At 50.1% G+C, this 22,724-nt stretch overlaps 1 annotated feature.

Annotated features, from left to right (window-relative positions):
• Window positions 16,519-17,019: an enhancer, noted in NCBI's record as "H3K4me1 hESC enhancer chr5:172153656-172154156 (GRCh37/hg19 assembly coordinates)". NCBI's record gives its function as "activates a minimal SCP1, AML or CMV promoter by ChIP-STARR-seq in naive H9 embryonic stem cells {active_cell/tissue: H9 hESC(naive)}" and the evidence as "EXISTENCE:reporter gene assay evidence [ECO:0000049][PMID:30033119]".

Below are 22,724 nucleotides of genomic sequence, written 5' to 3'. Positions count from 1 at the left end.
AGCATCCTTTTACTATGCCCCTTTTACCATGGGTTGTGATTACATAGAGGCTTGTCTGTCTTCCCAGTTAGATGATTAGCAGTATCAGGGCAGGGACTGTTCTTGTTTACCTCTGGACCCTTAGTCTTTATTACAGGGTCCAGGACATAGTAGGTGCTCAGGAAAGCCTGGTGGAATTTTTTTTTTTTTTTTTTGAGACAGAGTCTCACTTTGTGGCCCAGGCTGGAGTGCCGTGGTGCACCCAGCCTTCTGGTGGAATTTAATTGCAGCCTGTTTGATTTGTGTAACTAGATATTGTGTGTTCAGCCAGCGCTCTGTGCAGCACCATTCTAAACACTTCTCATACATTTAGTTCTCACAACACCCTGATGAGGTTGGGTCATTATCTCCACTTCACTGAAGAGGAAACTCAGGCTCAGAGAGGTTAAGTAACCAGGTCAAAGCCTCACAACCAGGAAATACCATAGCCAGAGCCCGGCTAGCGTGAAGTCCCCGACCCTAATTTATGTATTGCTATTTCCCAAACTTGCATGAGATGATTCAAACTGGTACTTGGGTTAACATTTTTAAAAAATAAGTATTTTATTTTAATGTATATTAGAAAAAATACTGTGTCAAATCCATGTGTTCCCATAAACCTTTATTCTTATAATTTCACTATTCATCTTTAGCATTAAGACTATATTCACTCATTCACCTAAACTTTAAAAATAGTTATATATTTTGGAGGCTGGGCACTGTAGCTCATGCCTGTGAACCCACCACTTTTGGGGGCCGAGGTGGGTGGATCACCCTGAGGTCAGGAGTTTGAGACCAGCCTGGCCAACATGGCAAAACCCTGTCTCTACTAAAAATACAAAAATTAGCCAGGCATGGTGGCACATGTCTGTAATCCCAGCTACTTGGGAGGCTGAGGCAGGAGAATCACTTGAACCCGAGAGGCAGAGGCTGCAGTGAGCCGAGATCACGCCACTGCCCTCCAGCCTGGGCGACAGAGTGAGATTCTGTCTCATAAAAAAAAAAAAGTTATACATTTATGTTCATGTGGATTAGAAAACACATGTAACCTGTGCGTCAAACCCATGGCCTTTGGCTATGACATAATTTCCTTTTAAAAAATAAAGTTAGGCCAGGTGCAGTGGCTCACACCTATAATCTCAGCACTTTGGGAGGCTGAGGCTGGAGGATTGCTTGATCCCAGGAGTTTGAGACCAGCCTGGGCAACACAGCAAAATCCTGTTCTCCACAAAAAGTAAAAAAAAAAAAAAAAAAAAAGTTAGCTGGGTGCCATCGGTCATGCTTGTGACTCCAGATACTTGGAAGGCTGAGGCGGGAGGATTGCTTGAGCCCACTGCACTTCAGCCTAGCAACAGAGCAAGAACCCGAGGCTGAAAAATAAACCCCAACCAAAACCACTACAGTGTTACCAGAGTGAGTGGGGGAGTCTTGCCCAGGCCCCACTGGAAGAAGTAGGGGGCAGACAGAGCAGGGCCTGAACCAGGGTTGAAGGCTGTCCTGGTCCCAACTTTCCCGTTACCTAACACCTGTCCACTCCCCACCCAGCAGCCAGAGTGAGCTTCAAAAAATGTAAATCAAATTCTGTTCCTCTGTAGTGAAAACCCCCAATGGTTTCCTGTTGCTTTTTTTTTGAGATGGAGTCTTGCTCTGTTGCCCAGGCTGAAGTGCAGTGGCATGATCTCGGCTCACAGCAACTTCCGCCTCCCAGGTTCAAGCGATTCTCCTGCCTCAGCCTCCCGAGTAGCTGGGACCACAGGCACATGCCATCAAACCCGGCTAATTTTTTTGTATTTTTAGTAAAGATGGGGTTTCACCGTGTTAGCCAGGATGGTCTCGATCTCCTGACCTCGTGATCCACCCACCTTGGCCTCCCAAAGTGCTAGGATTACAGGTGTGAGCCACCATGCCTGGCCCTGTGGCATTTAAAAAGGAAAACCTGGCCTGCCCACTGCCCCAACTTTGTTTTTTCTCCTTCCCCCTTGGCTGTGAGGCAGGAACCATGTTGGCTCATTCTCTTTCCAGATCTTCACTCAGACGGTTTGTCCTCAGCCACCTCCCCAGAGAGGCTGCCTCCCCACACCAACCACTCAATCAGAAGTTCTTCTAAGTATTCACGATCACTTCACCTTGTTTAATTTAGATGAGCAGAGCCTCTAACATTATCTAGATCTTTCTTTCTTTCTTTCTTTTTCTTTCTTTCTCTCTCTTTTTTCTTTCCCTCCTTCCCTCCCTCCCTTCCTTTCTTCCTTCCTTCTTTCCTTCCTTCCTTTCTTTCTTCCTTTTTCTTTCTTTTTCCCTCCCTCTCTCCCTCCCTCCTTTCCTTCCTTCCTTTCTTCCTTCCTTCCTTTTTCTTTCTTTTTCCCTCCCTCCCTTCCTTCCTTCTTTCCTATGTATTTTTGTTATTCTGTTAGAACAAGTACTCTTTCTTATCACTGCTGTGTCCTCAGAATAGTGCCCGGCACATAGTAGGTGTTCAATCGATTTCTGTGGCCCACACTCATGTGTAGGTGGTGCTGGGGGGCTGGGGAATGGGCTTATGCTCTGGCATCCACAACTGTGAGGTGAGCTTCTCTGAAAACAGCTGACAGATGCAGGGTTCTCCAGCTGAGCAGGCCAGGCAGCTGAAACCAAAAATGCAGACGGGATTAGTCACCCTTCGAGCCTGGTAACGCTGGCACCGAACGCACTCCCCATCCAAACACATCACAACAGTGTGGGCCCTGGTGTCTCCAGGGCCCCAGGTGGCAGCTCTGGCATTTGGGAGCTGGCAGCAGCCTGGCAGGGTGGGCACTGGGGGTGGGGGCAGTGGTGGGCGAGGAATGAGGTGGGCCAAGGGCCACAGATAGCGTTCCCTGGACTGGAGACAGGCGGTGGCAAGGGAAACTGGAGGCTTCTGAGGACAAAGCAAACCTTGAGAAAAGGAGACTTGAAGAATGAGCTCAAAGCTGTTGAAAAATAAAAATTCCACTCATAAACCAAAGCAGAACACTCGGTTGTGAAATCAATTTCCGTGACACTTGGTGTGCTTGAAAGGGGAAATTCTCTATTTTGTTTCTTTTTTGTTTTATAACAGCTTTATTGAAATATAATCACATACCATATACTTCACCCACGCAAAATGGACAATTCCATGGTTTTTCGTATATTCACAGTTGTGCAACCATCGCCACAATCAGTTTAAGAACACTTTCATCACCCCAGAAAGAAACCCCCTACCCCATCAGGAGTCACTCCTCTTCCCCTTCACCACCAGCGTAAGCAACCGATAATCCAATTATGTCTCCATAGTTTTGTCTACTCTGGACATTTTATATACATGGAATCATACAAGATGTGACCTTCTGTGACTGTTTCCTTACACCTAGCTTCATGTTCTCAAGGCCATCCATGTCATGGCATATATCAGTACTGCATTCCTTTTCAGGGCCAAATAATATTCCATCGTTGTATGAATAAACTATATTTTATTATTCATTCTTTGGTTGGTGGACATTTGGGTTGTTTCCATTTTTTTTTTGCTATTATGAAGAATGCTGCTATGAACATTTGTGAGTGTACACGTTTTTGTGTGGATGTATAATTTCATTTCTCTTGAGTATATACCTAGTATATTCCTAGGAGTGGAAATCTGTTTTCTTTTTTTTTCTTGAGACAGAGTCTCACTCTGTCACCCAGGCTGGAGTGCAATGACGTGATCTCGGCTCACTGCAACTTCTGTCTCCTGGGTTGAAGCGATTCTCCTGCCTCAGCCTCCCGAGTAGCTGGGATTACAGGCATGCGCCACCACGCCTGGCTAATTTTTGTATTTTTGGTAGAGATGGGGTTTCACCATGTTGGCCAGGGTAGTCTCAAACTCCTGACCTCAAGTGATCTGCCTGCCTTGGCCTCCCAAAGTGCTGCGATTACAGATGTGAGCCACCATGCCCGGCCACTATTTTCTTTTAAAAAGAAAAAAAAAAAAAAAGAAAACATTCCCCAAGTCAAAATACATACAGTGTGGAGTGGGTTTAAGATGTCAGTGGCAGTGGCAACAGCACAAGTGAACTTCACAAGCGTGGGAGCTGCAGCTGTGCCTGGCACATCCCGGAAGCCCAGTGAATATTTCTGAACAAATGCCCAAATGCTCACTCATTCCGTTGTCCCCAGTGAAAAGGCCCAGGGGGTAGAAATGTGACAAAAATGCTACTTGAATTTAATTGATTGTTTTGGGTTTCCTAGACAAAGATGGAGAAGCACCCCCAACCCTAGCCCCGCATGTAAGGAACTCAGTCTAGAGGGAAACGCAGACAAGTAAACCCAGCACCAGGACACAGGAAGGACAGCAGGGACTCTTTTCTGTCCTCCTCACTTTTGGCATTTCCTTCTTGAGCGAATGGCACGTCCCCTAAATTCCTGTTGTGGGCTGCCTCTTGTCTCCATGGGAGAAGCCCCAGTAGGAAGAGAAAGCACCATCTTCAGGAGGATGTTGGCCTGTACTTGGGACACACCTGTCCCTATCTTTGTGTCTGAAGTTGAGGACCTGTTGATCTCTTTTATGAAATAAAGTGTATCTTCCCTATTGCTTTTTTCTGATTGTCAACATACTTCCATTTTTTTCTTTTTTTTTCTTTTTAAGATGGAGTCTCGCTCTGTTGCCCAGGCTGGAGTGCAGTGGCGCGATCTCGGCTCACTGCAACCTCCGCCTCCAGAGTTCAAGTGATTCTCCTGCCTCAGCCTCCCGAGTAGCTGGGATTATAGGTGCATGCCAACACACCCGGCTCATTTTTGTATCCTTAATAAAGACAGGGTTTCACCATGTTGGCCAGGCTGGTCTTGAACTCCTGACCTCAGGTGATGCACCTGCCTTGGCCTCCCAAAGTGCTGGGATTACAGGCGTGAGCCACTGTGCCTGGCCACTTCCACGTATTTTCATTGTACTCCCAAGTACATCCAAACTGCATTGGGTGCCTCAGGTTCCGAGATTAACAAAGAGAGCCCCTATCCACCTGTACCTCCTAGCCTGGTGGGCACGACAGATGGTCCACAAGTAGCCCCAAGGGCCCTTGAAGATATCTGTTTGGGCGCGGTCACTCACGCCTGTAATCCCAGCACTTTGGGAGGCCAAGGCGGGCAGATCACGAGGTCAGGAGATCGAGCCCATCCTGGCTAACACGGAGAAACCTCGTCTCTACTAAAAATATTAAAAAATTAGCCGGGCGTGGTGGCGGGCACCTGTAATCCCAGCTACTTGGGAGGCTGAGGCAGGAGAATGGCGTGAACCTGGGAGGCGGAGCTTGCAGTAAGCCGAGATCGCGCCACTGTGCCCAAGCCTGGGCGACAGAGCAAGACTCTGTCTAAAAAAAAAAAAAAAAAGAAAATATACAACCCTCTGTGTTTTACTGACTTACCAGACACATTCATACACCACTTCCTGGTATGCTTTTTGTTTGTAGAGTTTTAATGTGTTTATTTATTTATTTATTTATTTTTGAAATGGAGTCTCAGTCTGTCACCCAGGCTGGAGTGCAGTGGCGCCATCTCAGCTCACTGTCACCTCCACCTCCCAGGTTCAAGCGATTCTCCTGCCTCAGCCTCCCAAGTAGTTGGGATTACAGGCGCACACCACCATGCCCGGCAATTTTTGTATTTTTAGTAGAAATGGGGTTTCACCATGTTGCCCAGGCTGGTCTTGAACTCCTGACTTCAAGTGATCTGCCCACCTCGGCCTCCCAAAGTGCTGGATTATAGCCATAAGCCACCGTGCGCAGCCCATTTATTTTTAAAGCAGATATTTGCTTGTTCATCTACAAATGTTTATTGAGTGTCAAGTCCTCATTAGGACACAGAGAGAAGTAAAAGTTTCCCTTGACCCTCAATTGCCTCGTAGCCTAGCACGACAGTCAGACATAAATAAATGGGAGCCCTCTCTTTGTGTGGTAGTGGGGGACCCTACAGGGCATAGTACTTCCATTCTCTCTCACATAAAATTTTCTTATTCAGAATCTACAAATACACATACACGTTACTGTAGTCGCAGGTTTGACATATGTTCTGTTCTCATGTGGGTTATATGTAATCTTACAATTTTAACTTTTCAATGTTACACGTATATTTTTGTGTCCAGAAGTGAGATATTTTATATCTTATGCTTCCATTTAACAAAATGGAAAATATACAATAGATCCTTTTTAAAAGGTACTTTTTTCTTGTGATTTTAATAGTAGTACATTTTCAATGGAGAAAATTTAGCAAATACAGAAAAAAAAAGACATGTAAATAAAGACCACTCATAACCTCACACCACCCAGAGACAGGAATATCAACATGTTGCCATCTTTCCTTCTAGTCTTCCTTCTAGGCTGTCTGCTATGTTATGTGTATTCGTATGAAGACACATGTTGTCTAACGTGGTGTTCAAGTCCAATGATACTGGTAGGGGTCTGGGTGTCCCAGCAGAGGGAAACACTTTCATAACACACCTCCCTTCCAGAGGGAGCCTCTATTTCCTTCTCTCCAGGTCACTAACTCACTCTGCAGCAGCCACTAAATGCAGGAGTCCAGGCCACTGGTCAGCCGGTGGCAGGGAGGGTTTCTGGAAGGGCCCAGGAAAGGTTCTGAGCCCAGGCCCAAGGCTGGGGAGTCTGAGTTCTTGAGCCCCACCCCTAGGAGGGTGAGGAGGTGGGGAGAGCAAGGGAATTACTGTTGGGACAGAGAGCGTCTCCCCCAGCCCCCTGAGCCAAGGCTCTAAATAAGGGCCCTGGATCCGCTGTGTCGAGCGACAGCTGAGAATCCCTGTGGCTCGGTGTCCCCACATCCGCTGCCAGAGTCACTGGGGGTGGGGGGTGGGGGGTGGGAAGTGGGGTGCTAAGGAGCCAAGACCCAGCACCCAACCTTTACCAGTGCCCCCGACAGCCTTGCTGAGCAAAGGAACTTCTCAGAGAGAGAGAAAAAAAAAAGGCCCTGGGAATGTTAAACCCAGTCTGTGAAACAGAAGTCCTGCTTCTCTCCATGGAGTGGCAGCGTAACAGTCACCATTTTTCGCCACAGTAGGAAAGAAAGAACAACCATGAGAGGGTTGGTGCTGTGACTCTTCCTGCAGAACCTTCATGACAGCTCTAGGAGGTAGGCGTCCCTGTCCCCATGACAGCAAGGTGGAATCTGAGGCTGGGAGCAGAGGTGACTTGCCCATGGTCACACAGGGCTGGGGTGACTCCCCATGCTCTCCTGTCCCTGCTCCTGCCCGCCCCTGGCCCTGTGTGGGGCTTCCCTCTCTCCAGGCACCGCGCAACCTGCCTGATGGACTTCACCGCCCCGGGTCCCCACCTCTCCCTATCCCTGTGCAGGCAGGAAACACGGGCTCCTCATCTCGGCTTCCCAGCAGCCCCAGTCTGGCCCTCCCATAGAAATATTTATCTAGTGAATGAATAAACACAGAGGGGGCCCTGCACATAAAACCAGGCCGGCCGGGACAGCATCCTCCAGCACAGGCTCTCCACGCCTCATGTGCAGATGCACACATGTGTGTATGTTTATGCGTGTGTGTGTGTGTGTGTGTGTGTGTGTGTGTGTGTGTGCATGCAGGTATGTGTGTGGGGAGCCAGGGGGTGGAGTGGAGTGGTTGGACACACAGACTCGAGAGCCAGACTGCCTGGGTCTGAATCCCAGCTTCTCAGCTGTGTGCCGTTGGGCAAGTGGCTGTCCCTCTCTGTGTCTGTCTTTGCCTCTGTGAAATAGTGGAGGGATAAATAGTCTCTGCCTCATCATTCATGCATGAGCGCTGGTATAGGAGTTAGTCCAGTGCCTGGCACAGAGCAAAAGCTTTTAGAATGCAACAAATTATTGGGGAAACTGAGTCAAGATCACCAGATGAAGTGACTTTATGACTTGTGCAGGGGAGAGGCCACGTGCACCAAGAGGCTTTTGCGAGGAGGTCACACCAGAATTGTTCTGGAACTCTCCTGCCTGCAAGCCTTCGATGGCTCCTCCGCTGTCCTCAGAGCAGTCCAGAGGGGGTTCGTTGGTTGCCTGCAGGGCTCCCAAGGCTCCCTGTGGGCTGGAACCCTGCCCATCTCTGGGGTTTGCCTCTGTGACCCTGCTCTGTTCCCACCTTCCCCACCACGGCCTCCATCCCTTCCTGCAAGTGGATCAGCCCAAACCCTGGAGCTGTGTTGATGACTTTATCTCCCTCCCACCTAGGCCTGCCTCGCAGCTCTTCCTCCAAAATATATGCTGGCTCGGCTGCCGCCCACCCCTCCAGGGCCCACCCCTCAGGACTGCCCAGTTGTCTCTCGCCTGGCCTCAAGTCCCTGCTGGGCTTCCATCCTTGGCCACAAGGCAGCCAGAGGGGTCCTTTGAAAATATGGCTCTGAGAGTCCCACCTCCCCAACACGCTTGGGGGACACCTCCAATGCCTGGCTGGTACACCAAGCCCTAGCTGCTCAGGCCCTGCCACCCCCTCCCTGCCTTCACTCTCTTTGCTTTACCCTGCAGGCCTCCCTCCCAGGTGCCCGCAGAGCCTGGGCACCTGCCCCACAGTGCCAGCATCTCCCCCAGGTCTCTGCCCAAATTCACCTGCTCAGAGAGGCCTTCCCTGGTCTCCCCAACTGGCCCCCATACACACAAACACACACACACATGCACACACACATACATACACAAATACACATAGATATACACACAAACACACACTTACACATACATACACAGGCACAGCATACACACACAAGTCCACATACATACAATATGCCGTCATAGAGCTTACACTTTAGAGAGATGGACAATATTGTAAAGTTTATAAATAAGTGATTTGTGCATTTCATACATAAAATTAAAAAAGAATATAATTTTGGGTGGAAATAAGCACTTTAAAAAGCTAAGGAGGTGGCTGGGCGTGGTGGCTCACACCTGTAATCCCAGAACTTTGGGAGGCCGAGATGGGTGGGTCACCTGAGGTCAGGAGTTCAAGACCAGCCAGGCCGCCAACATTGTGAAACCCCGTCTCTATTAAAAATACAAAAATTAGCCAGGTGTGGTGGCCGGCGCCTGTTACCCCAGCTACTTGGGAGGCTGAGGCAGGAGAATCGCTTGAACCTGGCAGGTGGAGGTTGCAGTGAGCCAAGATTGCGCCACTGTACTCCAGCCTGGGCAACAGAGCAAAACTCTGTTTCAAAAATAAATAAATAAATAAATAGGAGGGAAGCAATAAAGAAGAGACTAAGGTATATATGTCACACACACACATACACACACACACACAGCCTAGTCCCCTCTTCATCTGTTTTCTTAGTTTTTTTCAAAGTGCTCATTTCCACCTGAAATTATACTCTCTGATAATTTTATTTATGAAATGTATAAATCAATTGTTTCTAAGCTTCACAATATTGCCTGTCTCACTGAATGACAGCACAAATATCGTCTGCAGGAGAGAAGGAAGGAAAAAGGAAGAAAGGAAGGAGGGAAGGAAGGGAGGGAGGGAGGGTGGATCAGATCTGGCTGGGCAGAGACAGCAAGGAGGGGAGAGGTGAGCCCGTGCGGGGATATCTGGGGAACAGCCTGGTCTGGCTGGCTCAGAGAGGGTGCAGGGCACTGTGGGACATGAGGCTGGGGGATGACTTTTGGAACAAAATGTGTGGAGCCTTAAATGCCAGAAAAGAGAGCTGTGGAACCAAGGGGCAGATATGCGTTTTTGACCTTAAACCTTTTTCCTCACCCTGGAAGGCAAGTTAGTGTCTAGAAAGAACAGCGGATTCCTCAGGGTCCAGTCCTGTAGAGCTGCTCATATTCCAGCCTCCAGCCCACAGCCGGGGAGGGTGTGGACTCGGGGAGCTGGGGCCAGGGAGGAACTTGCAGCGTAACACCCTCTGGAATGCTGTGGCTGCAATTAACTCGCTCCAGATTCACTCAGTTCCCGTCAGAACATGAAACCAGAGGGAAAAAACCCATGAGGCCCGGACTGATCAGCACAGAACTTAGCAACCGCACAACAAGCTGCAGCTGACCCGTCCCTGGAGCTGAGGTGCTTTCCGGCCAGGCCCAGGGGTTAGGAGCTGGGAGCTGATCTGCTGCTTCTGGCTGGCTTGAGGAGCCCGAGGCCCACCCCAAGACCTCAGGAGGTCCACCTGGCCGGCGCCAGTTGGGTGAAGCTGTGGCTCAGGCTGGACACAGAACCACAAGGGCTCCTGGGAATGGCTTCACTTCCCCATTCCACCACGTGGAGAGACTGAGAAGGGTATTGTTGGCTGGTCCCTGCTCCCAGACTCAGTCACCCTGGACATCCTGGTTTGCTCTGCTGGTTCATGGGTTCACTAGCTCCACACCCTTGCCAGGAGCCCACAAGGGAATCTGGGACTTCAGAGTTTTAGCAATATCCCAATCATCCGGGCATTTCTCAGTGACTCACAGCCTCCCATCTGCTCCATCATTACATCTGGAGGGCCAGGAGCTTGGCCAGCTCCTGACCCAGTTCCTCCATCCTGCCTCCTCTCTCCCAGGCCAGCTTCACACTTACTGGGCCGGCGTGATTGTACCATAAAATATCTCAAGCATATGGAAAAGTTCAGAAAATCATGTTTCGGCCAAACAGCCGTCACTCCTGTTTAATCCTTAATGATCTGCCTGATTTGTTTCAGGGGGTGATGGTGGGGTGTCCCCAGGCCTGTCTGGGGAGGAAGCCCACCAGCAGAGCTAGAGAAGGCTCTGGAAGGGGCAGTATCTTTGTGTGCATTCCAATGCCTATCACATCCGTCGTGGATGTCTAGCAGGTCTCTGACAATAGGCCTGGCATCATAGTAGGTCCTCAGGGAGCAGTGGTTTTCCTGATAGTGTTGCGTCCCACCTGAAAGCCAGTGAGGCAGGCAAGTAGTCTGCAAATGAGGAAAGAGAAGCCCAGATTGGGGCTCAAGGTCACTCAGCCAGAAAGGGGACCAGGACAACGAGCCAAGGCCTTGTTGGGAGCAGAGCGATGACAGCCACTGATGGGCCCCTCTTCCCCCAGTGCCATCCCTTCCTGGGGGTACATGGAGGAGGGCCATCTCCAGGATGAGCCCTTCGGAGGGGAGGCTGAGGGCACCATCCAGCTGGAGAGCAGGGCTTGTGGGAGAAATGGCCTGGATTTCTCTGATGCAGCCATTTGGGGGATTGGAGGCAGAGGCTTCTCCAGGGATGGGGGTCTCCAGGCTCGCTCTGACGACCCCTCCCTCCCTCTGCAGCATCTGTAGTTGGGTCTGCTTGAAACTGCTCCTCGCCCTGCCCGAGTGACGGGGAGTCAGAACAATCTCTTTACAGCTGGGGGCCCAGAGGAGGAGTGGGTCTGGGGCCCAGAGGAGGAGTGGGTCTGGAGCCCAGAGGAGGAGTGGGTCTGGGGTCCAGAGCTCGGGGATGCCAGTTCCCGCATCTGTTTGCTCGACTCCAGAGTGCCTTGACCTAGTCCATAGCGGTTCAGTGCAGCTCACTAAGGATGGCCACCCGTGCTATCCTCCAAGCTGTCACAGGTACCAGGTAAGAGGTAGGGCAGTGGGAGGGGGGGATCCTTCTGGAACCCCAGTCCCCAAGATGGGAGTCCCTGGCCACCACTTCTGAGCTGTGTGGCCCCGGACAGGCAGTTTCTCCTTACTGAGGCTCAGTTCATCCTGTGTGCGCTGTGGGGGTGATGAATGTGGCACATCCCTGGCACCCCAAAATGACGGCTCTTATTACAGTGGAAAGTCCGGGCACACCTGCTACCCTCCCCCCACTGTGTTGTTCTAGAACATTGGTTCTCAAAGTGTGGTCACCGCACCACCCGCAACAGTGTTGCCCAGGAACCTGTTAGAAATGAAAATTCCCCGGCCCCACCTCAGAACGACTGAATCAGAAACTCTGGGGTGGGGCCCAGCGCTCTGTGTTGAACAAGCTTCCTGGGGATTCAGATGTGCACTCAGGATTGGGGACCACTCCTTTAGGTCATCCACATAACCACGACACTTCCCTGCTCTAAACCCTTCCATGGCTCCCAACTGCTTTCTGGATAAAATTGAAAGGCTCTAACCAGCATTCAAAGCCCTCCCCTTGTGGCCCTGGCTGACAGGAGGTGGCCAGCCTGTTTTCCCAGCCCCGTGACAGGCTGCTGGAGGTGACTCATGCCTCGGACCTGTTTACCTGGTGCCCAGCCAGGCTGACAGACAGGGACGAGGGCAGGAGAAAATGACAGAGCACATGCTAACGACGTGTGTGGCTCCTGGTGGCGGTTCGAGGCTCATTCTGTTACCGCCGTGTGAACTGGCCAAGTTGCTTCACTGTCTGGAGCCTCAGTGTTCTCATCTGTCCAGTGGGGATGATAACAGCGCGTCTGCCTAGGTCGGCTAGGACGAAACACGATCACCTGTGCAAAGTGCTCAGCCTGGTGCCTAGCAAACAACAGGTGCCTTAGAATACTAAGGGCCCACAATCCCTTGAGACTGGAGGTTTCAGGATTCTGGGTTTTTCAGGTTTTAAAAAGGGAAATACAGTTGACCCTTGAGCAACATGGGGGTTACGGGTGCTGACCTCCGACACAGTCAAAATCCACCTATAACTTTGGACTTCCCTGAAACTTAATGACTGATAGCCTTCTGCTGACTGGAAGCCATAACATAAATGGTCAGTTAACACATATTTTGTGTGTTATATGTTGTATATACTATATGCTTAAAATAAGTAAGCCAAAGAAAAGGAAATGTTTTTAAGAAAATCATAAAGAAGAGAAAATACAGTTACTGTTCATTAAGCGGAAGTGGATCATCATAAAGATCTTCATCCTTATCCTCCTCACGGTGAGTAGCCGGAGGAGGGAGAGGCAGAGGAGGGGTTGGTCCTGGTGTCTCAGGGGTGGGAGAGGCAGAAGAACATCCATGTAAGAGGGGACTTATTCAGTTCAAACCTGTGTTATTCAAAGGTTAACTGTACACCCTTTATCACCTAACACACCCAATGGGGATCTTCATCCATAAACAAACACACAACTGTTTCTGCATCAAAACATGCACGTGCAAAGTGGAAAAAAATAAAAACTATCAGTATGTAGCTTCCCATTAGTTCAGGCCATGCTAAGGCTCTTGGACTTTATCCAGAAGGCAATAGGGAGCTACAGAAGACTTTAGAGCGTGGAAGTGGCATGGTCAGGTAGATGCCTTAAAAGAGTGGTGCCCAAACAGAGTGTGCATCAGAAGTCCCTCGAGGACTTGTTAAATGCAGAATCCTGGGCCCCCACAGTCACTCAGGCCTCCTGGCTGCTGGTGAGGACAGCACGGCGACTCTCCCGTGTTTCAGATTTTACAGGACTGTGGGGCTCAGAGTGATGACATTACTTGTTCAAGGCCTCATGGCTTGTGAATGGTGGAGCTGGGTCATGCCAAATGAGCTTTGGGGCCAAACTTATGAACTATCTTTTGGTTTTCAGGGTTTTGGAATTATGGGTAAGGGATCGTGAGCCAGAATGGATGACCCTCGTGTCGGGCTTAGCGAGAGGCCTGTGACAGCGAGAGAACATAGGCTTTGGGGTGCAGATCCTGGTTCTACCGTTTCTGGATTGTTTCACTCCAGCCAAATGACCTTGCCTCTCTGAGCCTCAGTTTCCCTATACGAAAATTGGGATTAGCGGTTGTTCTTTGGTGGGGTTGAGGGAGGAAGCACTGAGACGAAGGGTGCTGGGAACCCCACTGGTGTTGATCGTGGATTCTGCTTTCCTCTGGGGTTGTCAGTCTGCGCCTCAGAATTCCCCAGGCCCCTCCCCAAGCCCACAGCCCGACGTGCCCAGGCCTGGGCCCTGGAACGAGGAGGAACCCTTCCAGCTTGTGTTACCCAAATATTGCGGAGGCCTGTTGGTGCCTCTCCATGGTGACAGTGCCCCAAGCTGCATGGGGGCGAGGGAGTGTCCTCTGTGTCAGGCACCCGCAGGTGCTGTCCCCGTCCCTGGGACACTGCAGGAAACAGCCGGCTCGCACAGGCCAGGGCCAGCCAAGTGAACCCGTAGGAGCAGCTAGGTCTCGGGTACTGGCACACAGGCACTTTCTTGAGAACCTGCAAATGGGTGTGGAAGACTCCCACACTGGGTCATGGGTAGGGGAACGTGGGGAGGGAGGAAAAGAACTTGCATGGGTTGAAGGCTTACTGTGTGCAGTACTCAGTACGTTATATTCTGACTGCTCCAGGCAAGAGTGAAGTTACCCAGGCCCCAGTGTCCATTTGGTTCTAGTTCAAATCCCCAGACTGCTGGTTCTTAGCTGTGGACCTGTCTGACCCTCAGGTTCCTCATCGGTGAAAAAGGGATATTAACACCCACTTCATACAGTTGTTAGGAGGATTAGGCGGGATAATGTGAAGTAGGTCCAGGGGCTGCTCTATAATGGTGGCAGTGATCATGATTCTTCTGTTTTATACATTGGAAAGTGAGACCCAGGGCAGGCCCAGGGCAGGTAGACCAGCCAGTCTTGGGGAGGCTCTGTAAGACCAAGTCCACGTGCTCCAAAGCTACACTTTCCATCTCAACCCTGGAAGCAGTCGTGTCTCAAGGTCAGGGACTGACTCTGTCTCTCTGTGTCTCTTTCTCTTGAAAACCCTACTTCCAAAGTTCAACAACATTTGTCAAGCACCACAGTGAACTGGAGCAGATTGGCGAGGTCAAAGTTTCCAAGGCCAGAGGTCTGGGTTCAAATCCCAGCTTGGCTAATGACCAGCTAGGTGATCTTGGGCAGGTTACTTGACTCTCTGGGCCTCAGTGTCCTTATCTATAAAAGAGTTGACAATTATATCCTTCTAGTGGCTCAGATCAGAACCTGGGGGACATCTTTAACTCTTCTCTTTTTCTCACGTCCAAATCTGATCCATCAGGAAGTGCAGGTGGCCCTACCTTCAGATATTTCCGGAGTCCAGTTGCGTCTTTCTCCTTCCAGTTTATTTCCCTGCTCAGAGCCATTGCCTCTCACCTGGCATATTGCAGGGGTCATCGGCCTGTTTTCTTTGCTCCCCGCCACAGCTCCCAATAGCTCATTCCCAATGCTCTGCAGTGATTACCTGTCTCAATCAAAGTACAAACTGCAGTCCTCATGTGGCCCGTGGTCTCTCCATGTGGCCTCCCCTCACCTCCCTGCCTCGTCTCCTACCACCCCTCTCTTGCTCTCTCTGCCTGGGCCACACTGGCCTCCCTCTCACCTGCAGGGTCAAGTCCTGCCCTGGCACTTTGCACTGGCTGTGCCTTCTGCCTGGAATGTTCTTCCCCAGACATGGGCCTTCACTTTTACACCTTTGTCAGGTCTTTGCTTCAAGCATCTTATTTGACCCCCATTTTTTTTTTTGAGATGGAGTTTCGCACTTGTTGCCCAGGCTGGAGTGCAATGGTGTGATCTCAGCTCATCGCAACCTCCACCTCCTGGGTTCAAGCGATTTTCCTGCCTCAGCCTCCCTAGTAGCTGGGATTACAGGCATGTGCCACCACGCCGGGCTAATTTTGTATTTTCAGTAGAGATGGGGTTTCTCCATATTACTCAGGCTGGTCTCAAACTTCCAACCTCAGGTTATCTGCCCACCTCAGCCTCCCAAAGTTTGACCCTCATACTTAAAAGGCAGCTCCTATCCCCCCCAGGACCTCTCTGTCACCCTCCTTGTTTTATTTTTCCATGTAACTCCAATAATCACGGAATATCTCCTAGATTTTACTCAGTGACTGCCTCCCCTCACTAAAATGGAAGCTGCAGAGGGCAGGGTTTCTGTGTGTTTTGCTGTCTGCTGTATCCGTAGCACCTAAAAGAGTGTGTAGCCCACAGTCAATATTTAACTAACACGTGCTGAATGAATGAATAGCACCTACCCATAGGTTTGTTGTGAGATTGAATGAGTTCATGAGCAGCACCTTGGCCATGTCCTGCATGGGCCAGTGCTCAGCATAGCTTTGCCTTTGCTGCAGAGGCTCGGGGGCCCAGCTAGACGAAGGGTGCGCTGTGGTAGGAAAAGCCAGCTCTGCCCTGCCAGGAGGGTGTCCTGGAAGTGGCTCCACACACACAGACTTGTGAGGTTGTGAAAGGGCTCGGGTGCCCCGGGATGCTAGGCAGCCAGGTGTGGCAGAGCAGGTGTGGGGGAGGGAGGAGTGGTGGCAAATGAGACCAGAGCTGTCACCAGTTGGGATCCTGGTATGTCAGGCTAAGGGGTTTCTCTGACGGCCAGGGGGAGCCTCAGGAGGGCTTTGGAAAGTTGGGGAGGATGAGAACCAGGACCTGTTCCCTTTGAGGTCTTAACAGTGAAGGTCATGACCTTGAACTGGAACCTTTATTTTACCATGGGGGGTGGGGGGATGGGGACTGAGGGGCTGAATCCTCCCCAAAGGGACAGTCTCCATGACCACCCCCATGGCCAGGAGGGGCCCTTCTACTGCTCAAGAAAATTCCCCAGTGGCGCCCTCCTTCTATCCCATGCCTAGCGCAGTGCTGGGGAGGAGGTAGTGAGCTGCCTGTCTCTGGCGTGTTCCAGCAGAATTCCTGGGACACATGGAGCGCAGCTGAGCTGTGGGGCTCCCCTACGGGCAGACGGGACACAGATGAGCTCTCACCGAGGAGGACCAGTGAGGTGGGCTCTGTAGGCTGCAGGCTTCCAGGAAGGGGCTGTTCTCCAGCTCCTCCAACACAAGCTCGGCCAACACCTGCTGCAGGGCGTCGCTGGGCACTAGGTGTGCAGTGGGACACCGCACAGGCAGACCCCTGCCCTCCTAGGCTGACAGTCTAGGGCAGGAGGCAGAAAATCAACCAATGAGCAGAGAGTATTTCATTATAAATGTGAGCCCCACAATGAAGAGAATTTGCTTTCGTGGGAGAGATTAATTTAGACTGGAAGATTGGGGAAGGCTTCTTAGAGAAAACGACATTTGAGCTAAGGTGAAAAGGGTCATTAGCAGGAAGTCTTTATACACACAGTGAGGGAAGGGCATTCCAGCAGAGGGAACAGCTGTGGCGAGGCTCAGAAGCCAGGCCCTAATGCTGTCCAATAGGATGTTGGGTTTGGTCAGAATCTGCATTCAGGGATCTACTTTCAAGAGCAAAGCAGTGATAAGTGAAGCTCAATGGCATGCTCACTGTGGTCTCTCCTGCCCTTCAAAAAACAAAAAGCACTTAATCAAATTCTCCCCTGGAGTAGGAGAAAAGGGTTTGGCCAAGCAAGGACTCAAGAGGAAGAGAGGCAGGTTTCACATTTTTCCTCTGAAGATGAAAGCAATCTTATCAAAGAGCAGAAGGAAAATGAATTAATGAAGTCATTTCATTGATTAAAGTATGTATTGAGCACATACTATGTGCCAGACATTGTTCTAGTGCAGGCTGTATGACTGCAAATAGGACAAAGTCCTCATCTTCACAAAATTTGCATGCTAGCAAGAGAGGCAATTGCCAAGTGAGCAAATGAAAATGTCATTTCGGGGTGTGATAAGTGCTGTGAAGAAAATAAGACGGGTAGGATGGCGGGGGTGGGGGTTGGGGTGGGGGTGGTGGCCGGATTGGACCTCCCTGAGAAGGTGATCCTTGAGCAGAGACCTGAAACAAGCAAGAGAGGAATGCCAAGAGGATGTGAGGTAAAGTGTTCCCAATAGTGGGAATAGCAAGTGCAAAGGCCCTGCGGCTGGGGAACTGGTGGAATGAGCCTGAGGAGCAGCAGGGAGGCCAGCATGGCTGCAGCGGGGTAAGGGAGGAGAACAGTGCTAGGAGAGGAGGTCGGAGAGGTACTGAGAGCCAGGCCAGGCAGGGCTGCTGGACCCCTGTCTTTGGGGCCCTGGGACTGCCACGGATGTTCTAGCAAGGCTGGGTTCAAGTCAGCAGTCTGCTCCCAGGCAAGGCCAGATAAAACACCTGCTTTGTGCAGAGGGACTGAGATCCCACAGACGCCCCCTACCCCTTTCTCCTCCTTTTTGTCTGAGTCTCTCCTTCTGCAATGTTCCATCAGTCCAGTTTGGGATGACCATGGTGACTGCAGGGGTGGAAGGCTGCAGTCAGGGATCTCACTGCCTTTGGAGGGGTGCATTTGGGGGCCTGATGTCCCCTCACTCTCAGATGTGGCTGTTCTGTCTGACTGAGGTCCTAGGACCCCAATCAATATTTACTTCCCATCCCCTCTGTCCAGCTCCATCAAAAGTCTCCACGTCCCACACTGGATCCACTGGGAGCTCCAGTCCCGGCCGTGGCTCTGAGCCGCCCTCTGCACTTGTCCGCCTAACCTTTGCCCTTTGGGTCTGGCTTCCATTGCCAGCCTCGCCTCTGTTGACTTGACGCTGGCTCTATTGACTGGTGACAAGGCCCATCTGATGGCTGATTAACTGATCCCCAGTTGTAAGTGACGGTGTTGTGAATTTGCTCAGCATTGGTGCACATCACTGTGGCCAACCCCCTTTGCGGGGCGATGGAGATGAAAAAGTCATCTACCCGTAAGGCGCTTGATGGTGGCGGGGGCGGCAAAGCCGTAAAAGCTCAGCCAGGAGAGTAAATGACCCTCCATTGACCCCGCTCCCACCACCTGCAGCCCTCTTCCTTTGGTGTATAGCCGAACATTAAAAAATTTTTATTTGGAAAAATTTCAAAAGTTCCAAGGATAGCTCAATAAACACCTCTCTGTCCTTCACCAGTGGCTCTCGGCCATCGGGTATGCCCGCTCCCCACGGGGACCTGTCTGCAGGCAATGTCTGGAGACATTTTTGGTTGTTACAACTAGGGAACGCTGCTGGCGCCTTGTGGGTACAGGCCAGGGATGCTGGTAAACATCATACAATACACAGGGCCAGCTGTCCCCACAACACAGGATTATCTGGTCCAAAATGTCGATTGTGACAAGCTTGAGAAACTCTGCCCTAAATTGACCAATGGCTAATGTTTGACTTACTTGCTTTCTCTCTCTCCCTCTGTACACACACACACACACATATACACACACACATTATTATTTTGCTTAACCCTTTGAGAGTAAGTTGTAGACATCATGATCATGGCTCTTCATCTCTAAATATTAATACTTCAGTATCCCCCGCTGCTTAATCACAGTAGAAATTTGATAAGGCTACATTGCTCCAGTATGAGGATCGTACATACAGTTTCCATTCAGACGTTGCCAATCTTGTCTCAATAACACCCTTGATAGTACTTCTTTCTCCCACCCAAACTCCAGCTCGGAATCCAGCCGATGCTCGGCTGCCACGCCTCTTTCCCCGCCTTTCATCTGGAGTAGTTGCATCCTCAGCTCTCTTCCTCATTCACAACCTTGACATTTTCTGCAGAACACAGGCTCATTGTTGTGGGCATGTCCTCCAGCTCAGTTTGGGTCTATTAGATTGTTTCCTTGTGATGAGATTCAGGTTTCTCATTTTTGGCAAGGATTACACAGCAGTGCGGCCGTGTCCTAAGCACATCGTGACAAGAGGCGCACGACGTTGGATGGTCCCAGCTGATCCCTTGGTTAAGCTGGTATCTGCCAGATTTCTCCACTGCCAAGGGCCACTTTTCCCTTTTGGGATCCATAAGCGGTACGGAGGATGATGCTCCGAGACTGTGTATAGGTCCTGCCCACTTCCCAACAAACCTCTCTCCCTTACCCAAATCAATTTTGACTTTTACGGAATCTAATGATTTTCTAGCTCCACCATTCTTGGGTGATTCTGACCTGATGATCCCCCGGCATCCACTGATGATAAATGAATTAATGTTTACTGCGATAATTAACAAATGAGGATTGTATAAACCCATTTTTCCCTCTTCATTTATTAGGTGCCATTTTTCTGTTAGGAAAAGCTTTTCCTTCCCCCTTCCTCCCTCTTTCTCTCCTTCCTTTTTTTCCTTTATTTTATATTTACCAGGGTGAATTCATGGGTTCTCTTTCATTTAACATGCTATAATCCACTGCCATCATTATTCAATGCTCAATTGTCCACAATGAGTCAATGCCCAAATTGTTCCACAGTTGGAACAGTGGCCTCTTTAAACTGGCTCCTGTGTCCTTTTGATGCATCCCCATCATTCTTTGGTCACTTCCTTATTTCTTGGCAAAACTCGATGTTCCAGGCTCATCTTGTATCTTTCCTCCTTCAGCCTTGGACTTGTCCATTTCCCCAAATTGCCCTGGTTCCTTTTGTTGGGGAAGGAGATTTAGAAACCAAGATTAGGGGCCAGGCACGGTGGCTCACACCTGTAATCCTACCACTTTGGGAGGCCAAGGTGGGTGGATCACTTGAGGTCAGGAGTTCGAGACCAGCCTGGCCAACGTGGTGAAACCCCATCTCTACTAAAAATTCAAAAATTAGCTGGGTGTGGTGGCATATGCCTGTAATCCAAGCTACTTGGGAGGCTGAGGCAGGAGAATCGCTTGAACCTGGGAAAGGCAGAGGTTGCAGCGAGCCGAGATTGCACCACTGCACTGCACTCCAGCCTGGGTGAGACTCCGTCTCAAAAAAAAAAAATAAAGAAACCAAGATGGGGGTGGTAGGTGGTAGGTGGGCTCATTGACACGGGGGTGTCACTGGGCTCAGGCCCTTGCAGCAGACAGAGTATGTTTGGGTATATTTAAGTCATGAGCTCATGCTTTTACCTCAAATTCCAGTCCAACACCACAGGCTTCTTTCTTAACTCCCCTTTTCCATATCTGCAGCTTCCTTGCTGAAAACCTTGACTCTCCAACATTAACATGTTTGCTCATTTGCTGAAAGCTACAATAGCCACAGAATGGTTTCAGGCCTGGTGAACAATAAATCTATTAAATAAAGTTCAAGCCTTCTTTCCAGTACTGTTGCCTTTACACCAAGGGTAACGTAGCGTTCAGGTCGTTAAGCGCTTATATGGATTTGCTCGTTTTCCCCCTCTCTGTAGTATGACAGTGATATGATATTACTTTGCTGTACAGGTAGTTAATTTGCTTTTATTGGTGATTAATTTTTGGTTTTCGCCTATTCTTATTAAGTGGATTTAATGTCTTTCTTAATCCCTGTCTGTGGCTCTGCCCATCTCGATGTTGAACAATGTCCTGACCTAAAAAATGCCAGGGGCTGGGGGTGTGGATGGGGGGATGCAAATGCTGGTGGTGCCGCTGGGCGCTTCCTCTGCTTTGGGCTTTCACAAAATACGGGTTGCACACTGCTGGCTCCAGGAAAGATGCTTTTATATACTCTCGGCGTTAAGGACATCAGTAAATCCCGCAGTGAGAAATTTGTTTTTTCTGGCTGTCCTTCCATTTTCTGATTGCTTCAAGGAGAAAGTCTCAGCTTGTGCTACTCTGGTTTTAACGCCTCTTTACCACTTGCTGATCTAACAGATAGCGTGACAGATAGCGGTCCCAGCACAGAGCCTGCAGGAGGCGGCCACCTTGAGACAGAAGAGGTGACCTTGTTTTATTTATCTGTCTTGTTTCTTGGAGCCAGGCTGCCTTGTTTCAAATCATAATGCTGCTGCATTCCAGCTGTGACCTTGTGCAAGTTACTTAAGATCCCCGTGCCTCAGTTTTCCCCTCTGTATAACTGAGATACAGTGGTGCCCATCTCATAAGGTTTTCATGGGGATGAATGAGTTAATGTTTGTAATGTGCTTAGCAGAGTGCCTGGCACATGGTAAGCACTTGTTATATTCATTTTTGTGTTGATGGGAAATGATTCCACTTTTCCATTCGGGGTGGTGATGCAACGTTTCCTTTTAAGATACATTTAGTTCAGTGAGCCAATTAAAAACAAATATTAAGTTTGAAAACAAGTGCTCTGCAGATTTAGCAAAAATCATCAAAGCGCGCTGGAACTGACTGAGTTTGGAAAATAACGCTCTGGCGTTCATTGAACCGGTTCCAATAGCTTTAGCTTTGCGCTATAGCCATTCATAAAATGCTTTATAAAGATTTGATTTATTTGAAGTTTTGTAACAACTCTGGGAGGTAGGAATGATGATTGTCCCTGTTCTTCGGATGAGGGGATTGAGGCACAGAGAGGTCAGTTAACTGGCCCCAAGTTGCACAGCCGGGAGGTGACCTTGGGCCACCTGGCTCCAGAGTTTGTGCCCTTGGCCACGTGGCCAGGCAGGCCCCTTTTGCAGAAGAGAACACTTGAGGTGTCAAGGGACACCAGTGAGTCTGGGACGGATGAGGGGCTGAGTATGAGGATGTGCCCAGTGCTGCTGAGATGGACTCCAAGTCCGGGTGAGATACAGGCCCTTCTTGTCCCCTGAATGGCTCACCTCGCCCCGTTGGGACAAACGTGCTCTCCTTTCTCACAAACAACAAGAAATATTTCTCATGTGACATTTCTCATAGGCTAGACCACTGCTCCTTTGTGGAGAAATGTGGGCTAGCCTGAGAACCTCAGGAACCAAGAAGGTGGGACCCTGGGACCCACCCCTGGGCCCCTCCCACTGGGCTAGCCTCTTAAACTCTGTCTCCCTGAGTCTTCACAACCACTCTGTGATGGAAACACAACTCTTCCATTTTACAGGTGGGGAAACCGAGGCCTGGAGAGGTGGAGTGACTTGCCCACGGTGACAGAAGAGGCAGGGTCAAAGTTTGAACTCAGGAGCTGGGGACACTTGTTGGCTGCCTACCCAGCAGCCATTCCTTCTAACAATCCCCAGATCTCCTTCTAAGTACCTACCACCACCCCCCGACCACAGCCAGCATGCTTGGAGGGGAGCCCCCTCAACTCCAAGGAGGGCTCTGATGGGCTGGAACCAGATAATGCCTCCCATTCCCTTGGCCACAGGCATTGGTTCAGGGGTAGTCGTGTG

This window comes from Homo sapiens, chromosome 5 (assembly GCF_000001405.40).
Source record: "Homo sapiens chromosome 5, GRCh38.p14 Primary Assembly".
NCBI classification, from domain to species: Eukaryota; Metazoa; Chordata; class Mammalia; order Primates; family Hominidae; genus Homo; species Homo sapiens.
The sequence above is the reverse complement of the archived record's forward strand: the minus strand, read 5'-3'. Positions and strand labels throughout refer to the sequence as shown.